Source organism: Homo sapiens, chromosome 10 (assembly GCF_000001405.40).
Source record: "Homo sapiens chromosome 10, GRCh38.p14 Primary Assembly".
In the NCBI taxonomy this organism is placed as follows: Eukaryota; Metazoa; Chordata; class Mammalia; order Primates; family Hominidae; genus Homo; species Homo sapiens.
Window position 1 is genome coordinate 12,088,534 of NC_000010.11, and position 22,166 is coordinate 12,110,699.

Here is a 22,166-nt window from a genome sequence, read left to right on the forward strand (position 1 = left end):
CAGTTTAGTTAATTGACAGAGTTGGTATTTGGATTGGTTTTCCATGTATACTTACTTATTTATTTATTGAGACCTAATCTCGCTCTGTCACCCAGGCTGGAGTGCAGTGGCGTGATCTCGGCTCACTGCAACCTCCGCCTCCCAGGTTCAAGTGATTCTTATGCCTCAGCCTCTCTACTAGCTGGGATTACAGGTACCTGCCACCACACCCAACTAATTTTTTGTATTTTTAATAGAGACGGGGTTTCACCATGTTGGCCAGGCTGGTCCCGAACTCCTGACCTCAAGTGATCTTCCCGTCTCAGCCTCCCAAAGTGCTGGAATTACAGGCATAAGCCACCACTCCTGGCTTTAAATTTTCTTTTTTGTTGTATGATTTCAACTCAGCACTTCTTCCCTAGACTCCATTGTGATGAATGCCATTTTTTTCCTTTTGAATGTATCCACAATAGCTGATGTTCCGTAAAATGCGAGGCTTAAGTGAATTTCCAGAGAATTTCTCAGCCACTGGAGACGTCCTGTCTCACCTGACCTCCTCTGTGGACCTGTACTTTGGGGCGCACCATCCCCTCCATGTGACAATGTTGCCCAATCCCTCGCACCTGGAGGCCGTCAACCCCGTGGCCGTGGGCAAAACTCGCGGCAGGCAGCAGTCTCGCCAAGACGGCGATTACTCTCCAGACAACTCAGCCCAGCCGGGGGACAGGGTCATTTGCTTACAGGTACTTGGAGCTTCTGAAATTGAGGCCAGAGGTGGGGAAAACTGGGAAGAATGTGTGGGTTGGGAGGGCTGAAAGCACATGGCAGACATTCATGATGAAACTGAGATGACCTTTTGGAAAAAGATTCTGGGATTGTTTTAAAAACTAACAGGAGATTCATGAGGTTTAGTCTTCAGGCAACTGGCTTTAGCCTGGGGCTTCCACTTCTGTTTTCCTTGCATGGCTTATGAATTAACTTGGGGTTTGGGCTGGCAAACCTGCTCCTTCTTAGAGCACAGATGTCATTATCTCTCTGGAAGTATGGCCTTCTTGGAAACTTTGTGGTTCCCATACATATAACAAGACAAGCGTGAAAAAAAAAAAGACTTTAAGTGTGGTTTTACTTCGTTTCTTGTTTACTTTATTATCTTTTCTTTTTTATGGCTTTTTTTTTGAGACCGAGTCTCACTCTGTCACTCAGGCTGGAGTGCAGTGGCGAAATCTCAGCTCACTGCAACCTCTGCCTCCTGGGTTCAAGTGATTCTCCTGCCTCAGCCTCCCGAGTAGCTGGGACTACAGGCACGTGCCACCACGCCCAGCTAATTTTTGTATTTTTAGTAGAGACAGGGTTTCACCATGTTGGCCAGCCTGGTCTCAAACTCCTGACCTCAAGTGATCCTCCCACCTCAGCCTCCCAAAGTGCTGAGATTACAGGCATGAGCCACTATACCTAGCCTATTTTTTTTTTTTGCTTGTTTATTTGAAAATGAAAGTCTTTGGTATTAAGGCACATAACACAAATTATCAGTGTGGTTCGTTCTTTTTCTACCCTGTCTCCCAGTTTTTGGTAACACAACAAGTATCTTTTAGAGGTTTGGGCTGTGGTCATGTTTCTTCTGTGAGTATTCATTTAAATATGAACCTTTAACTACAGGAGATCATGAAACCTGGATTTCAGAATCAGTCTTCAAATTCCACAGAAATAGATAAATATATAAGGCAATCAAATATTCTATGTTTGTAAATGCCACGTTATCCTATGCATTTTAATTTTTCACAGGCCAGAAACTTGTAGTGAATAAATTGGGAGTAGGCAGAATTGGATTTCATTATGATATGGCCGGCCCTCCCTCCCTTCCTTCCTTCCTTCCTTTTTTCCTTCCTTCCTTCCTTTTTTCCTTCCTTCCTTCCTTTTTCCTTCCTTCCTTCCTTCCTTCCTTCCTTCCTTCCTTCCTTCCTTCCTTCTTCTTTCTCTCTCTTTCTTTCAAGATGGGTTCTCAATCTTTTGTCCAGGCAGGAGTGCAATGGTGCAATCATAGCTCACTGTAGGCTCAAATGCCTAGGCTCAAGCAATCTTCCTGTCTCAGCCTCCCAAGTAGCTGGGCCTACAGGTGCATGCCATCATACCTGGCTGATTTATTTTATTTTATTTTGTGGAGACATGATCTTGCTGGGTTGGCCAAGCTGGTTTCAAATTCCTAGCTTCAAGCAACCCTCCTGCCTTGGCCTCCCAAAGTGTAGATATTACAGGTGTGAACCACTGCACCTGGCCTGATAGGGTGTTTCTAAATAGAAATCTTGAAATCATTAGCCAGACATTCTGTTTACCTTTCACATAATTTATAATACTCTATTTTAATCCTTCATTTTTACCCAGTACATTGAGCTGATCTTAAGATTGTGGTGGCGGGCGCCTGTAGTCCCAGCTACTCGGGAGGCTGAGGCAGGAGAATGGCGTGAACCCCGGAGGCGGAGCTTGCAGTGAGCCGAGATTGCGCCACCGCACTCCCGCCTGGGCAACAGAGCGAGACTCCGTCTCAAAAAAAAACAAAAAAAGATTGACTTCTGAAATAAAAGGTGAAAAGGCCATTTTCTTTAAAATGATGATAAATGAGGCTGGTCGCTGTGGCTCATGCCTGTAATCCCAGCACTTTGGGAGGCCAAGGAGGGTGGATCACCTGAGGTCAGAAGTTTGAGACCAGCCTGACCAACATGGTGAAACCCCGCCTCTACTAAAAATACAAAAAATTAGCCGGGTGTGGTGGTGCATGCCTATAATCCCAGCTACTAGGGAAGCTGAGGCAGGAGAATCACTTGAACCCGGGAGGCAGAGGATGCAGTGAGCTGAGATCGTGCCATTTCACTCCAGCCTGGGCGAAAGAGCAAGACTCTGTCTCAAAAAAAAAAAAAAAAAAAGTTATTCCAACCTGAAAACCTAGATTTCTTAATCCCTTATGTTTCTTTTCTCCCCACCCGCTCCCCTTGCCTCATGATTTAGGTCCATGGTGATGCTTCTTTCTGTGGTCAAGGGATTGTTCCTGAAACATTCACGCTGTCCAATCTCCCACATTTCAGAATTGGTGGGAGTGTGCATTTGATTGTTAATAACCAGCTGGGTTACACCACTCCAGCTGAAAGAGGAAGGTCTTCTTTATACTGCAGTGATATTGGTACGTAACACAGGGAGGAACTGATATTGCTGAAGCCGACATGGAATTCCTAGGGAAACCTCTGGTGCACACAGAACAATGAGCCTCACTGGTTATCCCTCCTTTCATTTAATTAATTAATTAATTAATTAATTTTTTGAGATGGAGTCTTGCTCTGTCACCCAGCCTGTAGTGCAGCAGCACGATCTTGGCTCACTGCAACTTCTGCCTCCCGAGTTCAAGTGATTCTCTTGCCTCAGCCTCCTGATTAGCTGGGACCACATGCGTGCACCACCATGTCTGGCTAATTTTTTTTTTTTTTTTTTTTAGATGGAGTCTTGCTCTGTTGCCCTTTCCAGCTTGTACTCCATGCTGGAGTACGTGATCTCGGCTTACTGCAACCTCCGCCTTTCAGGTTCAAGTGATTCTCATGCCTCAGCCTCCCAAGTAGTTGGGACTACAGGTGTACACCACCACACCTGTCTAATTTTTGTATTTTTAGTAGAGACGGGGTTTCACCATGTTGGCAGGCTGGTCTTGAACTCCTGACCTCTGGTGATCTGCCTGCTTAGGCCTCCCAAAGTGCTGGGATTAAAGGCGTGAGCCACCATGCCCAGCCTATCAGTGTGATTTTTAAATCCAAAGAAATAAGACAAGGATGGAGCCACAGTGTGCCATCTCAAATTTCTTATAACTGGATGGGTGATCTGGTACAAGTCAGAGATCAACACAATGAGTACAACACCAGAGTTGTTATCTCTAGGATATTCAAACTTGGAGTGCCCAGGGGCTTAGTGATAAGGGATGTGTTCAACCACTAAACTTGGTGAAATAGTATAGTTAGAAATAAGATGTGAAGGCTGGGCACAGTGGCTCACGTCTGTAATCCCAGCACTTTGGGAGGCTAAGGCAGGTGGATCATCTGAGCTTGGGAGTTCGAGACCAGCCTGACCAACATAGAGAAACCCCGTCTCTAATAAAAACACAAAATTAGCTGGGCATGGTGGTGCATGCCTGTAATCCCAGCTACTCGGGAGGCTGAGACAGGAGAATCACTTGAACCTGGGAGGCGGAGGTTGCAGTGAGCCAAGATCAGGCCATTGCACTACAGCGTGGGCAACAAGAGCGAAACTCCATCTCAAAGGGCAAAAAAAAGAAATAAGATGTGAAGAATCAAAGTCAGCTTCTTTTTTATCTGTGGAAATTGGTAGGTTTTTTTGTTGTTGTTGTTGTTTTGAGAGTCTTGCTCTGTTACTCAGACTGGAGTGCAGTGGTACAATCATGGCTCACTGCAGCCTTGACATCCCTGGCTCAAGAGATCCTCCCTCCTCAGCCTCCTTAGTAGCTGCGATTTACAGACACATGCCACCATGCACAGCTAATTTTTTTTTTTTTTTGAGATGGAGTTTCGCTCTTGTTGCCCACGCTGCAGTGCAATGGCGCCATCTCGGTTCACCACAACTTGCACCTCCCGGGTTCAAGCAATTCTCCTGCCTCAGCCTCCCGAGTAGCTGGGACTACAGGTGTCCACCACCACACCCAGCTAAATTTTGTGTTTTTAGTAGAGACGGGGTTTCACCATGTTGGTCAGGCTGGTCTCAAACTCCTGACCTCAGGTAATTCACCTGCCTCAGCCTCCCAGAGTGCTGGGATTATAGGCGTGAGCCACTGCACCTGGCCACAGCTAATTTTTAAAATAATTTTTGTAGAGATTGAGTCACTGTGTTGCCCAGGCTGGTCTTGAACCTCTGGTCTTGTGTGATCCCTCTTCAGCCTTCCAAACTGCTGAGATTACAGGCGTGAACCACTGTGCCAGGCTGAAATTGGTCATCTTAAGATAAAGACAGTGCTGTTATTACCCATTCCCAGTTTCACAGTTTACAAGGCTGTTTGATGGTAGCAACTATTCTCCTTTTATACAAACAGCCTGGACTGGATGCCTCTTGGGCTTGTCTATGTGAATCCTTTATGATTAGTCTGATGAAGATTCTTTGGAGCAAATTTATCTTTTTCTAAGGTACATCCTTTAATGACCCTTTTATCTCAGGGAGAAAGAGAGTAATGATAATAACAGTAACAAAATAAATATTAACTACTATGTACCAGGCACTGTTAGGCATTACAATTGTTTGTGCATTCACTCATCGAACCTTTGCAACATCACTAAGAGGTAGGAGCCCCATTCCCGATTTATAGATAAGTAGGTTGAGATTTGTAGCTTTACCGAGGTCACACAATAAGTCCCAGAGTTGGAACTTGCCAGCTGGTCTCCAAAGCTGGGGTTGTTAACCAAACCAATATCTACCTGTGAGGATTGGGCTGTCTTTTGATGCAGGAAGTAGGGCTTAGAGAGGGCCAGTGTCATTCTGGGTTAACTGTCCTGTTTCGGCTTGGTCTTCTGTCCTTCAGGGAAGCTTGTGGGCTGTGCCATCATCCATGTCAATGGAGACAGCCCAGAGGAAGTGGTCCGTGCCACACGACTGGCTTTTGAATACCAACGCCAGTTCCGCAAGGATGTGATTATTGATCTGTTGTGCTACAGGCAGTGGGGCCACAATGAGCTGGATGAGCCATTCTACACCAACCCCATCATGTACAAAATCATCAGGTACAATTATAAACCCTTGTGTGATATGCCCCCTAAAAATTAAAATTACTATTATTATTCTTTTGAGATGGAGTCTTGCTTTGTCACCCAGTCTGGAATGCAGTAGCACGATCTTGGCTCACTGCCATCTCCACCTCCCGGGTTCAAATGATCCTCCTGCCTCAAGTGATCCTCTTGCCTCAACCTCCCGAGTAGCTGGGATTACAGGCGTGTGCCACCGTGCCTGGCTAGTTTTCATACTTTTTAGTAGAGATGGAGTTTTGCCATGTTGGCCAGGCTGATGTCAAACTCCTGACCTCAGGTGATCTGCCTGCCTCGCCCTCCCAAAGTGCTGGGATTACAGGCATGAGCCACCATGCCCAGGCAGGACATGAAACTTTAAGAGCTAAAGCTGACACAGTTCTGGGCTGGAGTGCAGGTGGCACAGTCTTGGCTCACTGCAACCTCTGCCTCCTGGGTTCAAGCAATTGCAATTCTTGTGCCTCAGCTTCCTGAGTAGCTGGGATTACAGGTATGCATCACCACGCCTGGCTAATCTTTGTATTTTTAGTACAGACAGGGGTTTCGCCATGTTGGCTAGGCTGGTCTCAAACTCCCGGTCTCAAGTGATCCACCTGCCTTAGCCTCCCAAAGTGCTAGGATTACAGGCATGAGCCACCGTGCCTGGCCTCCCATACTCTTCACACTTGACATGGTTCCTCATTGAATAGAAAAAGGGCAATAGAAAACTCAGCAGATGGGAAGATTGAAGCAGGGGGAATTAAGCAAACCTCGCCCAAATCTATTTACTGCAGTGTCGGCAGGACCAGAAATAGAACCTCAGTGATTCATTTCTACAAACCATAGCTGCAGACCTGCCTGGCACCTTGGTGAGAGGTAACTCAGAAGATTCTAATGAATGTTCAGAACCATGCTGTCCAAGATGGAAGCCACTAGCCATCAGTGGCTATTGAGTACTTGAAAAGTGGCCAGTCCTGATTAATGTGCTGTAAGGATAATACACACACCATATTTCAAACACTTAGCATGTAAAATATAAACCCAAAATAATATTTTTAAATTTATTAGATATGGAAATGACAATATAATGAGTATATTGACTTAAATAAAATATGTTATTGAAATGCCGGGCATGGTGGCTTATGCCTGTAATCCCAGCACTTTGGGAGGCCAAGGTGGGTGGATCACTTGAGGTCAGGAGTTTGAGACCGGCCTGGCCAACATGGTGAAACCCCATCTCTACTAAAAATAGAAAAATTTGGCCAGGCGCGGTGGCTCACGCCTGTAATCCCAGCACTTTGGGAGGCCGAGGCGGGCGGATCACGAGGTCAGGAGATCGAGACCATCCTGACTAACACGGTGAAACCGCGTCTCTACTAAAAATACAAAAAATTAGCCGGGCGTGGTGGCGGGCGCCTGTAGTCCCAGCTACTCGGGAGGCTGAGGCAGGAGAATGGCGTGAACCCGGGAGGCGGAGCTTGCAGTGAGCCCAGATCGCACCACTGCACTCCAGCCTGGGTGGCATAGCGAGACTCCGTCTCAAAAAAAAAAAAAAAAAAAAAGAAAAGAAAAGAAAAGAAAAAGAAAAATTAGCTGGCGTTGTGGCGCGTGCCTGTAGTCCCAGCTACTCGGGAGGCTGAGGCAACAGAATCGCTTGAACTGGGGAGGCGGAGGTTGCAGTGAGCTGAGATTGTGCCACTGCATTCCAGCCTGGGCGACAGAGCGAGACTCGGTCTCAAAGAAAAAACAAGAAGAAAAGAAATTAATTTCACCTGTTTCTTTTTATCTTTTCTAACGTGACTGCCAGAAAATTTTAAATTACTCATGGCTTGCATTTCATTTCTGTCCCATGGTGCTGATTCAGATGGTTAATGTGACGGAGGGGGAATTTGTTACTTTGGAACTTCCTTTTCTAGATACTAGAAAATAAAATAGATTCCCCTCCTCCAAGTTTATTTCCTTATAGATATAAATTAAAGCAGAGGAATACACGTTTTATGAGCGTTTCTGATCCTTGGTACCAGAAAGAGGACTGCTCTCAGAAGAACTAATTGTGTTCTGTTTAGCTCTGAATTTAGCAGCTGAATGACTCAGTGAACCTCAGGGTTCTATTTTATTTTATTTATTTTTTTGAGACACGGTCTTGCTCTGTCGCCCAGGCTGTAGTGCAGTGGTATGATCACGGCTCACTGTAGCCTCGACTTCCTGGGCTCAAGCGATCCTCCCGCCTCCACCTCCTGAGAACCTGGGACTACAGGCGCTTGCCACTATGCCTGACTAGATGGGGTCTCACAGCGTTACCCAAGCTGGTCTCGCCATCTGCCCGTCTCGGCCTCCCAAAGTTCTGGGATTGCAGGCATGAGCCTCCTCACCTGGCCCCAGGGCGTTAGCTTTAAAATCTATCCTGCTTTCTTCTCTCTTTTATCAGGATTAAATATGATAATATATGTGAATAGACTTTATAGTTGAAAGTATGACATGAATGTAGAGTGACATTTATTGTAACACCCAGGTGTTGATGATTGTAGTTAAAGGATGATAGATGCAACCTGAAAGATTGCAACTTTCAGACTGGAGCAACTTTGGGTTCCATACCTTTTTAGATAAAGGGGGGTGCTGATTGGATAGACAGTGTGGGTCAGTCTTGGAAATAATTGTCAGAATTTACCAAATCATAGAAAAACTCTGTTAATTATTTCTATTTGGATGCAGACAAAAACTTATAAATTTGTTTTCTCTCAGTTGCCTGGAAAAGAGGTTGTTACTATGAGTGCCTTCATTTATTAAATTAATTTATTATATTTAACATTGTTTATTTATTTTGTTTCTGTTTTATAAACTTATTGAGATGAACGTGACATAATATAAAATTGGCTGTCTTAATGCGAACAACTCAGTGGCATTTATTTACCTTCACAAAGTGGTGCAACCATCACTTCTGTCAAGTTCCAAAACATTTTTCCTGAATGCCTTTTTATTTTATTTTTATTTATTTTTAATTTTATTTATTTGGTTTTTGAGACGGAGTTTCACTTTTGTTGCCTAGGCTGGAGTGCAGTGGTGCCATCTCGGCTCACTGCAACCTCTACCACTTAGGTTCAAGCAATTCTCCTGCCTCAGCCTCCTGAGTAGCTGGGATTACAGGCGCCCGCCACCATGCCAAGCTAATTTTTTGTATTTTTAGTAGAGACAGGGTTTCACCACGTTGGCCAGGCTGGTCCCGAACTCCTGACCTCAGGTGATCCACCCACTTTGGCCTCCCAAAATGCTAAGATTGTAGGTGTGAGCCACTGCACCTGTCGAATGCCTTTTTAGAGTGCTGACACTCCACCGCCCTTGACAGTGACTCTCCTTGTCTCTATTAGATTGTTACAGGTCAGACTGATTTTTGTTTCTTCTCTTTCTTGGGCAGAGCTCGAAAGAGCATTCCAGACACATATGCAGAGCACCTCATTGCTGGCGGACTCATGACGCAGGAGGAGGTGTCTGAAATAAAATCCTCCTACTATGCCAAGTTGAATGATCACTTAAATAACATGGCCCACTACAGGCCCCCTGCCCTGAACCTGCAGGCCCACTGGCAGGGCCTGGCTCAGCCAGAAGCGCAAATCACCACCTGGAGTACAGGTGTGCCCCTCGACCTCCTGCGGTTTGTTGGCATGAAGTCTGTAGAGGTGCCAAGAGAGCTGCAGATGCACAGTCACCTGCTGAAGACACATGTTCAGGTGGGCAGCCTCCAAATGGCTGGTTATTGCTTCTCCTTCCTGCTCAGCAAAGGAGCTGACGTTGGTCTGGTGTTTTCAGTTGTCTGATTCATTTGACAAATATTTATTGTGTGTCGTTAGGTTCTAGAAACTGATCCTAGTGTTGTTTTGGTACTGATAGTCAGTTACCTCAGATTTTCTCTTCTTTTCTTTTTCCTCCATGTATTTATTTATTTATGCATGTTCATACATTACATGTACCTGGAATACATGCACACTATAAGAAATACAGAGATACAAGAATGTCTGTTTTTATTTTTCCAACCAGTGAGTAGAAAACACTTTGTTTCAGGTGGCTTAAATAAAAGAAACAAAAGTCAACACACATACCCCAAGGTAGCCCCCTAAACATGCTCATGTTTTACGTATTGTCTTAGGATCACTATAGGATGACAAACCACCCTGGTGGACCTGGGACTTAGGGGTTTTCTGGAATGTGGGACTTTAAGTGCTAAAACAAGGAGAGCAAAGAGTTAAATGTCTTTTTCTTTCTTAAGCTTGGATGAAGGAACTTTGCCCTCTAAATTATTTTATTTTATGTTATTTTTGGATGGAATCTCACTCTGTCACCCAGGCTGGTGTGCAGTGGCGTGATCTCGGCTCACTGCAACCTCCACCTCCCAGGTTCAAACGATTCTCCTGCCTCAGCCTCCTGAGTAGCTGGGATTACAGGCATGTGCCACCATGCCCAGCTAATTTTTGTATTTTTAGTAGAGATGGGTTTTCACCATGTTGGCCAGGTTGGTCTTGAACTCCTGACCTCAATTGATCCATCCACTTTGGCCTCCCAAAGTGCTGGGTTTACAGGTGTGAGCCACCATGCCTAACATGAATTATTTTCAAACACTAACTTGGCCAGGCACGGTGGCTCCTATCTGTAATACCAGTGCTTTGGAAGGCCAAGGTGGAAGGATTGCTTGAGCCTAGAAGTTCAAGACCAGCCTGGGCAACATAGTGGACCTTATCGCTAGTAAAGATTAAAAAATTTGCCTGGCATGGTGGCGCATGCCTGTAGTCTCAGCTCCTCAGGAGGCTGAGGTGGGAGGATTGCTTGAGCCCAGAAGGTCGAGCCTGCAATGAGCTGAGATTGCACCACTGTACTCCAGCCTGGGTGACAGAATAAGATCCTGTTTCTCCAAAAAGAGGAAATTAAAAAAAAAAAACCAACCCACTAACTTTAAGTTTTTATTATAGGTACAGAGACTATTACAACAAACTATTAATATGTACTCATCACTCAGCTTAGGAAATAGGATGTTATAAATACAGTTCCCCACATACCCCTCCTTGATCCATCTCCTCCCACCTCCGCAGAGGTAACCACTAACCTAAGCACGTGTTTGTTTTGCCTGTTTTAAAATTGTATATAGGCCGGGTGTGGTGGCTCACTCCTGTAATCTGAGAACTTTGGGAGGCCAAGCCGGGCAGATTATTTGAGTTCAGGGGTTCAAGACCAGTCTGACCAACATGGCGAAACCCCTTCTCCACTAAAAAGTACAAAAATTAGCTGGGCGTGGTGGTGTGCACCCATAGTCCCAGCTACTTAGGAGGCTGAGGCAGGAGAATCACTTGAACCAGGGAGGCTGAGGTTGCAATCAGCCAAGATCACGCCACTGCACTCTAGCCTGCGTGACAGAGTGAGACTGCCTCAGAAAAAAATAAATAAATAAAAACTGTATATAATTGCTCTCCTTCTCTAATGTATCCTTTTGTACTCTGTTTTTATTCAGCATTGTTTTTGATGCTTAATTTCGTTGCTTTTTTTTTTTTTTTTTTTTTGAGATCAAGTCTTGCTCTGTCGCCCAGGCTGTAGTGTAGTGGAGCCATCTCAGCTCACTGCAACCTCCGCCTCTCAGGTTCCAGTGACTCCCTGCCTCAGCTTCCTGAGTAGCTGGTATCATAGAGACACGCCACCAGGCCTAGCTAATTTTTGTATTTTTAGTAGAGATGGAGTTTCACCATGTTGTCCAGGCTGGTCTTGAACTCCTTACCTCAAGTGATCCACCCGCCTGGGCCTCCCAAAGTGCTGGGATTACAGGCATGAGCCACCATGCCTGGCCTGCATTAAATTTTTTGTACTCATTGTGAAAAAGGAAATGGACTCTTAGACGTTCCTTTTTTTTCTTCCTCTGAATTTTACAGTCCAGAATGGAGAAGATGATGGACGGAATCAAGCTAGACTGGGCCACCGCGGAAGCTCTTGCCTTGGGTTCTTTACTTGCTCAAGGTAAGAATTTTCTTTTTTTTTTCTGTTTTTTTTTTTTTTGAGTCTCACCCTGTCGCCCAGGCTGGAATGCAGTGGTGCGATCTCAGCTCACTGCAACCTCCGCCTCCCAGGTTCAAGCGATTCTCCTGCCCCAGCCTCCCAAGTAGGGCGCACCACCATGCCCAGCTAATTTTTGTATTTTTAGTAGAGACGGGGTTTCACTATGTTGGTCAGGCTGGTCTCGAACTCTTGACCTCGTGTTCCACCCGCCTCGGCCTCCCAAAGTGCTAGGATTATGGGCGTGAGCCACCGTGCCCAGCCAAGGTAAGAATTTTCTGTCTAGCTAGTAGAGAGTACTTTTAATCACGTTTGCTACCTGTTACCTTTGCAGTTTATTTGAGTTATAACTACCTCCCATTGTGTTCATTGACCAGAGAGGTTCTAAAGCATGTTAATTTTTCTTTCCTGACAATATTACTTATTTGTAGTATAAGTCATGCTGACAACCTTCATCAGAGTATAGACATAGGACAGTTATGCCTGGGAAACAAAGGGCTAGTGCTGGATGTACTGGAAAGATAGTTTTCTCTAAAAATTGCAGGGCACATGATACCTCTCCACTCTTATGCAATCTCATCTTAACTATAGACTTTTGAATATTGGACAGCATATATTAATAACTATCTGTTATCCTAAGGAAAATTCTCAGGATTAAGCCAGTATATAAGAATTTACAGTCACCACACCTTATTATTAGGTTATTTATGGGAATCTGACTTTTTTTTTCTTGCTTGCTTAAGGTTTTAATGTTCGTCTAAGTGGCCAAGATGTTGGTCGTGGAACTTTCAGTCAGAGGCATGCAATCGTGGTTTGCCAGGAGACGGATGACACCTACATCCCCCTGAACCATATGGACCCAAATCAGAAGGGGTTTCTAGAGGTGAGATGTTTCTATAGCTGTTGTAAAATCCAGGTGCCAACGATTACACTTCCAGGATTCTTAGAACAAGTAGGAAGGAGTGCTGGCAACTTTGGGTTCAGTACTTTTGGAAGTAAAGGAGTGCTAAATGGGTGGATGAGGTGGGTCTGTCAATTTGGAATGCAAGTAACCCCTAGAGAGTAGGCTGGAGCTTTCTTCTTCTGGTGACATATCTGTAATCATGTAAATGTCAAATCAATGTGTGTTTTGTCAACTCAAAGTTGACATTATCATCTGCATATTGCTGTAATTCATTAAAGTTAGTCAAAGATATGGATAAGTCAGTATTCCTTGCCTACTTAAGGATAGCAAAATCGCACATCCTCAAGGTTACCTGTTCCCTAAGGTATGATTGGCTTGACGAATGTACACATAACCGTGTATTTCTTTCTTTTTTTTCGGAGACTTAATCTTGCTCTGTTGCCCAGGCTGGAGTGCAGTGGTGCCATCTTGGCTCACTGCAACCTCCACCTCCCAGGCTCAGGGGATCCTCATGTTTCAGCCTCCCGAGTAGCTGGGACCACGGGAATGAGGTGCCATTCCTGGCTAATTTTTTTATTTTTAGTAGATGGAATTTCACCATGTTGCCCAGGCTGGTCTTGAACTCCTGGCCTCAAGCAGTCCACCTGCCTTGGCCTCCCAAAGCACTGGAAGTATAGGTGTGAGCCACTGCACCCAGCCAGATATAACCATGTATTTCTGTGTGGCAGCCTCTGTGCCCTCTGTAGTGCCTTAAGGATAGTAGTGGAGTCTTTTCATTTATTTATCTCAAACAATTATTCAAGTGTCTAGCACATGATGTTTATGAAAATAACTTATTCCTTAAGGTAAGTTGAGTGGCATGTCATCTTCTTTCCTACTCTAGCCATTAGTTTGAGAACATCATCTTGAGTTACTGACACCTTATAAAAAATTCACTTGGTGGCCGGGTGTGGTGGTTCACGCCTGTAATCCCAGCACTTCGGGAGGCTGAGGTGGGCAGATCACACGGTCAAGAGATCAAGACCATCCTGGCCAAAATGGTGAAACCCCATCTCTACTAAAAATAGAAAAATTAGCTGGGTGTGGTGGCATGCATCTGTAGTCCCAGCTACTCAGGAGGTTGAGGCAGAAGAATCGCTTGAACCCAGGAGGCGGAGGTTGCAGTGAGCCGAGAACACACCACTGCACTCCAGCCTGGTGACAGAGCGAGACTCTGTCTCAAAAAAAAAAAAAAAAAAAGAAAATTCACTTGGCAAAAGCCACATTTTAGGAAGATAACTGAAGGGATATGGAGCTCATCTTTTCTTTAAGTTAGTCCAAAATCTACCCTTGGATCAAGTCAGATTGCCAAACTAGATACTGAAATGTTTAGCATTCCCCTACCTCAGATGAGGCTTTCATTGAATTGTGCTTTGATATTTATTATCAGTTTTGAATTTTGCTATTGAAAAAGTCCCAATTAAATGCCTTGTGTCTGTTTTGTGGATACTGTTGAAGATTTAATTTAGTTTCATTCATTCATTCATTCGTTCATTTATTTATTTGAGACGGAGCCTCACTCTGTCACCCAGGCTGGAGTGCAGTGGCGTGATCTAGGCTCACTGCAACCTCTGCCTCCTGGGTTGGAGCAGTTCTCCTGCTTCAGCCTCCCAAGTAGCTGGGATTATTTGGCCTCCCAGAGTGCTGGGATTACAGGCGTGAACCACCACGCCTGGCCGAAGATTTAATTTATTATTTAGACCTGGCACGGTGGCTCACACCTGTAATCCCAGCACTTTGGGAGGCCAAGGCAGGCAGATCACTTGAGGCCAGGAGTTCAACACTGGCCTGGCCAACATGGCGAAACCCTGTCTCTACTAAAAATACAAAAATTAGTCGGGCATGGTGGCACACGCCTGTAATCCCAGCTACTCAGGAGGTTGAGGCAGGAGAATTGCTTGAACCCAGGAGGCAGAGGTAGTGAGCGGAGATCATACCACTGCCCTCCAGTTTGGGCAACAGAGCAAGACTCTGTCTCAAATAATAATAAGAGTAATTTATTATTTAATACCATGTCCTCTATGTGAAGACCCTGGGAGAAACTCCTGCTTGATCTTGGTAGTGAGAGTAGCTATATTTTCCTGAGTAGTGATCTGCCTTCATTGTCTAATAGTATTGAATTTTGTAACTGACCAGCATTCCCTTATCAATAATGGCTTCTAGGAAGGGACAGAGGTCAGGCAGCCTTCATGATAAGTGAATAGGTCCTTGGGGTGTGTTTTTCCCCCAACTTCGTTGTACATCTCAATCTGTGTGTGTGTGTGTGTGTGTGTGTGTGTGTGTGTGTATGTATGTGACAGGTCCTCCTCTGTTGCCTAGGCTGGAGTCCCACAGTGCAATTATAGCTCACTGTAGCCTCCAGCTCTTAGGCACAAGCAATTGTCCCGCCTCAGCCTCTCAAGTAGCTGGGACTACAGGCAAGCACCACCACGCCTGGCTACTTTTAAATATTTTGTAGAGATAGGAGTCTCACTGTGATGGCCAGTGTCATCTTGAATTCCTGGCCTCAAGCAATCCTCCTGCCTTGGCCTCCCAAAGTGCTGGGATTATAGATGTGAGCTGCCGTGCCCAGCCTAGAGGGTTTTTATTTTTTTAAGTAAAAGCTTTATTGAGCTATAACTCATACAATTCAACCTCTCAGTGTGTACACTTGAGCAGTTTGTAGTCTATTCACAGAGTTGTGTAATCATCACCACTATCTAATTTTAGAACATTTTCATTACCCTAGAAAGCAAGCCCATGCCCGTTAGCAGTCACTGCCCATTCCTTCCTCCCTCCAGCCCCTGGACACCACTCATCGACTGTTTGTTTCTATTGATCTGCCTATTTTGGATGTTTCATGTGACTAGAACGGTATAACATGTGGCCTTTTGGGACTGGCTTCTTTGACTTGGCATCATGCTTTCAAGGTCCATCCATGCATGCAGCATGTATCAGTACATCCTTCTTTTTTTTGAGACCAAGTCTTGCTCTGTTGCCCAGGCTGGAGTGCAGTGGCGCAACCTCGGCTCACTGCAACCTCAGATTCCTAGGTTAAAGTGGTTCTCCCACCTCAGCCTCCCAAGTAGCTGGGACTGCAGGTGTGCGCCACCAGGCCCTGCTAATTTTTGAATTTGTAGCAGAGACAGGGTCTCGCCACATTGGCCAGGCTGATCTCAAACTTTTGACCTCAAGTGATCATCTCAGCCTCCCAAAGTGCTGAGATTACAGGTGTGAGCCACCACACTCTGCCCGTCCTTCCTTTTTATTCCAAAATAATATTCTATAAAGATGTAGCTTAAACATATATTTTTTTAAAATTTGAAAGAAACAAAATTACCAAAATGTTGTGTACAGTAAGGAACTTTTTCTCATCTTTATTTTTTCTTTTGAGACAGGGTCTCACTCTGTCACGCAGGCTGGAGTGTAGTGATGCAATCACTGCTCACTGCAGCCTCGACCTCCTGTGTCCAAGTGATCCTCCTAGCTCCCTTTTTCCATCTTGAACCATCTGAGAGCTAGTTGCCATCCTGGTGCCCCCTACTGTGTATTTCCACAAATGGGGGGACATCCTTCTCCATCATAACACACCAAAATCAGGAAATGAACACAGACATGACTACCATGTATTTCTCAAACCAAGATCAACAATTTTTTTTTCTTTTTTTTTTTTAGGCAGAGTCTCACTCTGTTGCCCAGGCTGGAGTGCAGTGGCACAATCTCGGCTCAATGCAACCTCCACCTCCCAGGTTCAAGCAATCCTCCCACCTCAGCCTCTTGAGGCCTGCATCACCATGCTCAGCTAATTTTTGTATTTTTTGTAGAGACTGGGTTTCACCATGTTGGCCAGGCTGGTCTCGAACTCCTGACCTCAGGTGATCCTCCTGCTTTGGCCTCCCAAAGTGCTGGGATTATGTTTTGCATTTAATTGTAATGTCTTTTTAACCTTCTCAGAGATAAAATTTGTATTCTGCTTTTTTTAATGTTAACATATCATGATGGTTCTTTTGATTTACCATGCAAATACGATGTTAGAATAATGATTTTAACCAAAGGTAGGACTTTATTTTTTAACTTTCCTCACTTTGTTTCATGATAATTTTTTTCTTTTTTGAGACAGGATCTCACTGTGTCACGCAGGCTGGAGTGCAGTGGTGCGATTATAGCTCACTGTAGTTTCAACCTCCTGGGCTCAAGTGATCCTCCCACCTCAGCCTCCCAAGTAGTTGGGACTACAGGCATGTGCCACCATGCCCAGCTAATTTTTGTCTGCTTTTTTTAGAGATGGGGTTTTGCCATGTTGCCCATGTTGATCTCAAACTCCTGTGCTCAAGCGATCCTCCCATCTCGGCCTCCCAAATTGTTGGGAGGCCACCACGCCCGGCCACAGGTTTTTGAAAAGCTTATAAGACGCAGTTGTATACCTAGCTCCAGAAGAGGGTCATCTGAGAAGTATATGTGCTTATCCTTGAAGAAACTCTGTAATACCCATATTCCAGCCTCTTTTATCTTTTCCTCTCTTTGTCCCAACTTTTCTCATCTGCATCACTGACACCAAGCAGCAAATCTCTTCTCAAAAGAATGTGGTGATGAGGCCGGGCGTGGTGGCTCATGCTGTAACCCCAGCACTTTGGGGGGCCAAGGTGGGTGGATCACCTGAGCTCAGGAGTTTGAGACCAGCTTGGCCAACATGCTGAAACCCTGTTTCTACTAAAAGTACAAAAATTAGCTGGGCATGGTGGCGGGTGCCTGTAATCCCAGCTACTCAGGAGGCTGAGGCAAGAGAATCACTTGAACCTGGGAGGCGGAGGTTGCAGTGAGCCGAGATGGAGCCATTGCGCTCCAGCCTGGGCAACAAAAGTGAAACTCCGTCTCAAAAAGCAGAAACAAACAAACAAAAAGAATGTGGTGATGAACGAGAGCAAGGCTCCCTCTCCGCACCACCTCCCTTCGATAAGTTCGCAGGAGCCCAGTGCTCTGCCGTGGCCCTCACATGCAGCGTTTCCTTCTCTTCTCTGGGATTAGGTCAGCAACAGCCCACTGTCAGAAGAGGCCGTCCTGGGATTTGAATATGGGATGAGCATTGAGAGCCCAAAGTTACTGCCCCTGTGGGAGGCACAGTTTGGCGATTTCTTCAATGGTGCCCAGATCATCTTTGACACATTCATCTCTGGAGGTTGGTGTCAGCGTATAGGGTGGGTACAGGTGGGGGTCCCTGCGTGGCCCCAGCCTCGTGGGGACAAATGAATGAAAAGGGGCCACTGCTGCCTTGAGACTCCCGTGTGCGGCGGCGCCTCCAGGGAGTTGGGGTCACCCTGTTATGACGGGAGTGTGGCCACTGTCAGGTTAATGTGTTACTGGGACAAAAACCCAAGCTCTCTCTCAGCAGGAGCACTGGTGCCACCCAGCACCTGTGCTCAGGGGTCAGTAGGGCCATGAAAACCCGCTCCAGTGTCTGAAAGCTTCCGAAGCAGTACCTGCTCACCGTAAAAATTAGAAGTAATTGAAGTAAACGTCTAAGTCTTCTCCCCAGACCCTGAATCCCATTTTCCAGGGATGCCCACTCTTGGGTTTTGAATACCTGCCTTAAATCTTTCCTATAGTTATGCTTCTCTGTAACATTTTCACTGGGAGGAAGAAAAGTGCCTGAGGGCCTGGACTTCTGACTTGTCCAGAGACTGTTCTGTCGTGCCCACCACCCCCTGTTTCAAGACAGTGGCCTGTGTTGTCAGCTGGGCTGTGAGAGCTGCCCATTCTTTTTCTTTTCTTTTTTTTTTTTTTTGAGACGGAGTCTCGCTCTGTCACCCAGGCTGGAGTGCAGTGGTGCGATCTCGGCTCACTGCAAGCTCCGCCTACTGGGTTTGCACGATTCTCCTGCCTCAGCCTCCCGAGTAGCTGGGACTACATAGGCGCTGGTCACCACGCCCGGCTAATTTTTTGTATTTTTAGTAGAGATGGGGTTTCACCGTGTCAGCCGGGATGGTCTCGTTCTCCTGACCTCATGATCCACCCACCTCAGCCTCCCAAAGTGGTGGGATTACGGGTGTGAGCCACTGTGCCCGGCCGGGAGCTGCCCATTCTTGTAAGAGTGGTGCCTGCGGTGGTATTGGAGCGGCATGTGCTGTCCAGGAAGCTGGGAACGTTCCCCTTTGAGTTTGTCTTCCACTCGTAAAAGCCCAGGGCCTGTGCCGTGATAGGTTATGGCTTTCTTTTTTGAGACGGTGTCTCACTCTGTCCCTCAGGCTGGTGTGCAGTGGCATGATCTCAGGACACTGCAACCTCTATCTCCCGGGGTCAAGTGATTCTCCCACCTCAGCCTCCCGAGTAGCTGGGACTACAGACATGTGCCACTACAGCTGGCTAATTTTTGTATTTTTAGTAGAGACGGGGTTTCACCATGTTGGCCAGGCTGGTCTCGAACACCTGACCTCAAGTGATCTATCCGCCTCAGCCTCCCAAAGTGCTGGGATTACAGGTGTGAGCCACCGTGCCTAGCCCATGATAGGTTTTCATTCAATGAAATGGACATTTCCCTAAGTATAGCATAACAGTTCTAGAAGGTGCATGTAATGAAAGCAGTTTTGGGGGGCCAGGCAGAAAACTAACATTGATTTCCCCAGCTGAGTCGTGTCAGGCCACTTTGTCCCCGCTTCGTAGAGCTCTTACTCCCCACGTGGTACTTTTCCAGGAGAGGCCAAGTGGCTCCTACAAAGCGGCATCGTCATCCTCCTTCCACATGGCTACGATGGGGCTGGGCCAGACCACTCATCCTGTCGAATAGAGCGTTTCCTGCAGGTAAGGGTAACGTCTTCCGGAGTCAATGAATCATTTTCCTGCTTCCTAGAGCTTTTCTACCTCCTGCGGATAGCTTAACGCCCACCTAACTGTAACACAGCTTAGTATTTGAGTGAAACAGATTTGATGCAATGTCAATTTTCTTTGGAAACGTAATGCCTCAGGTATAATTGTATCACGGTTTTATGGCAATTAAAGTTCTCTTGTGCCAGGATCAGCAGTTCTTATACCAGGCTGATCATCAGAATCCCCCAGAGAGCTTTTTTATTTTTATTTTTTTTTGAGATGGGGTCTCGCTCTGTTGCCCAGGCTGGAGTGCAGTGGTGCGATCTTGGCTCACTGCAACCTCTGCCTCTTGGGTTCAAGCGATTCTCCTGGCTCACCCTCCAAGTAGCTGGGACCACAGGCGTATGCCACCATGCCTGGCTAATTTTTGTGTTTTTAGTAGAGATTGGTGTTCTTCCATGTTGGCCAGGCTAGTCTGAAACTCCTGGCCTCAAGTGATCTACCCGCCTCAGCTTCCCAAAGTGCTGGGATTACAGGTGTGAGCCACCAACCCTGGCTGGTTATTAAAACATTTGAAATATCCTGCCAGAAATAGCCATTGTCCTCATTTGGTGTGAATCATTACAAATGTCTCCTTTTGCATGTTATTTCCTTATAGTTTATTATGAAGACTTTCAGATATACAGAAAAGTTGGAAAGAATTTACTGTGAATACTCATATGCCCACTCCCTAGAATTCACCATTATTTTTTATTATACTTGTTTTTTCACATATCTATTCATCTGTCATTCTGGTATCCTTCAATGCATCTTATGTTTTGATTCATTTCAAAATAAATGGAGACATTAGCCGGGTGCAGTGGCTCACACCTGTAATCCTGGCACTTTGGGAGACCAAGGCAGGTGGATCACTTGAGATCAGGAGTTTGAGACCAGCCTGGCTAACACAGAGAAACCCCATCTTTACTAAAAATACAAAAATTAGCCATGTGTAGTGGCTCATCCCTGTAATCCAAGCTACTCGGGAGCCTGAGGCAGGAGAATCGCTTGAACCCAGGAGGCAGAGGTTGCAGTGAGATCACGCCACTGCACTCCAGCCTGGACAACAAAGACTCTGTCTCAAAAAATTAAATAAATAAATAAATAAATAATAAATAGAGATATCAATACATGTCACCCCAAGTACTTCAGCATGCATATCGTTAATGATTTTGGCATGCGTGCAGCTAAAATGTATAAACAGATGATAGCTTAATAGATAGGTAGACAGAACAACAGATAGATGGATAGTTACATTAATGATGACATCGAGAATTTTATTTAAAAAGAGATTAGAGTAATGGTAGATAAACTAAAGCATGACATGTGAAATGCAAAACTACTAGTTGTTGAAGAAACAGAGGAAATGAGTAGGTGGGGGATACAGTTTCGGAGTCATCAGCCACTAGATGACATTGACAGTCATGAGTCTGGAAGAAGTCATCGAAGCAGCGAGCACAGTGGAGGAGAGAAGGTGCCTGAGCTCTGGGCCCTGGGATAGTCCAACCTCAGAGGATGCAGAGAAGAAGAAGAAGTGAGATGAAGAAGGAGCAACCAGTGAGGTGGGAGGAAGATCTTAGAAAGCAAGCGAAGGAAACATATCAGGGAAGAGGGAGTGTCAGTGTCAATTAAGATGAGGAGTGAAGTAATCCCAGCACTTTGAGAGGCCGAGGTGGGAGGATCACTTGAGCCCAGGAGTTTGAGACCAGCTTGGGCAACATAGTGAGACCCTGTCTCTACTAAAAATAAATAAATAAATAAATAGATGAGGCATAAGAATGAACCACTGAATTTAGAAATCAAGAGTCCATTTGTTGGTTGATGACTGCGGTTTTGATGGAGTGGTAGGGACAAAAGTCTGTCTGGGACATATTAAGGACTATCTAGAGCAACTTGTCCAACCTGTGTCCATGGACCACATGCGGCTCAGAACAGCTTTGAATGTAGCCCAATACAGGCTGGGCGTGGTGGCTCACTCCTGTAATCCCAGCACTTTGGGAGGCCGAGGCGGGCGGATCATGAGGTCAGGAGATGAAGACCATCCTGGCTAACACGGTGAAACCCTGTGTCTACTAAAAATACAAAAAATTAGCCGGGCACGGTGGCAGGCACCTGTAGTCCCAGCTACTTGGGAGGCTGAGGCAGGGGAATGGTGTGAACCTGGGAGGCGGAGCTTGCAGTGAGCTGAGATTGCGCCATGCACTCCAGCCTGGGTGACAGAGCGAGACTCTGTCTCCAGAAAAAAGAATGTGGTCCAATACAAATTCATAAACTTTCTTAAAACATTATTTGTGATTTTTTTTTTTTACCTTATTAGCCATTGTTAGTGTTAGTGTATTTTATGTGTGGCACAAGACAATTCTTCTTCTTCCGGTGTGGCTCAGGTAAGCCAAAAGATCGGACACCCCTGATTCCTGATTCTAGAGAAAGGAAAGTGTATTTATTTAAACATTTTTAATTGACAAATGTACAATTGTATATATGAATAGTATAAAATGTGATGTTTTGATACAGCTATACATTGTGAACTGATTGAATCAAGCTAATTACCAGACCCGTCACCTCACATACTCACCATTTTTGGGGAAGAGAACATTTAAAATCTATCCTCTTAGTAATTTTCAGGTATATAATACGTT

General features: G+C 45.5%; 1 protein-coding gene across 1 annotated transcript in view; it reads left to right on the forward strand.

The window, feature by feature from the left end:
• DHTKD1 (dehydrogenase E1 and transketolase domain containing 1) overlaps nucleotides 1–22,166 on the forward strand; it is a 54,268-nt gene that overhangs the window by 19,580 nt on the left and 12,522 nt on the right. Inside the window, exons 5-12 of the mRNA NM_018706.7 lie at nucleotides 453–722; nucleotides 2,980–3,151; nucleotides 5,540–5,738; nucleotides 9,151–9,463; nucleotides 11,645–11,729; nucleotides 12,509–12,648; nucleotides 17,713–17,863; nucleotides 19,376–19,482. Coding sequence (NP_061176.4) covers nucleotides 453–722; nucleotides 2,980–3,151; nucleotides 5,540–5,738; nucleotides 9,151–9,463; nucleotides 11,645–11,729; nucleotides 12,509–12,648; nucleotides 17,713–17,863; nucleotides 19,376–19,482 — 1,437 coding nt within the window. The remainder of the gene's footprint in view (nucleotides 1–452; nucleotides 723–2,979; nucleotides 3,152–5,539; nucleotides 5,739–9,150; nucleotides 9,464–11,644; nucleotides 11,730–12,508; nucleotides 12,649–17,712; nucleotides 17,864–19,375; nucleotides 19,483–22,166) is intronic.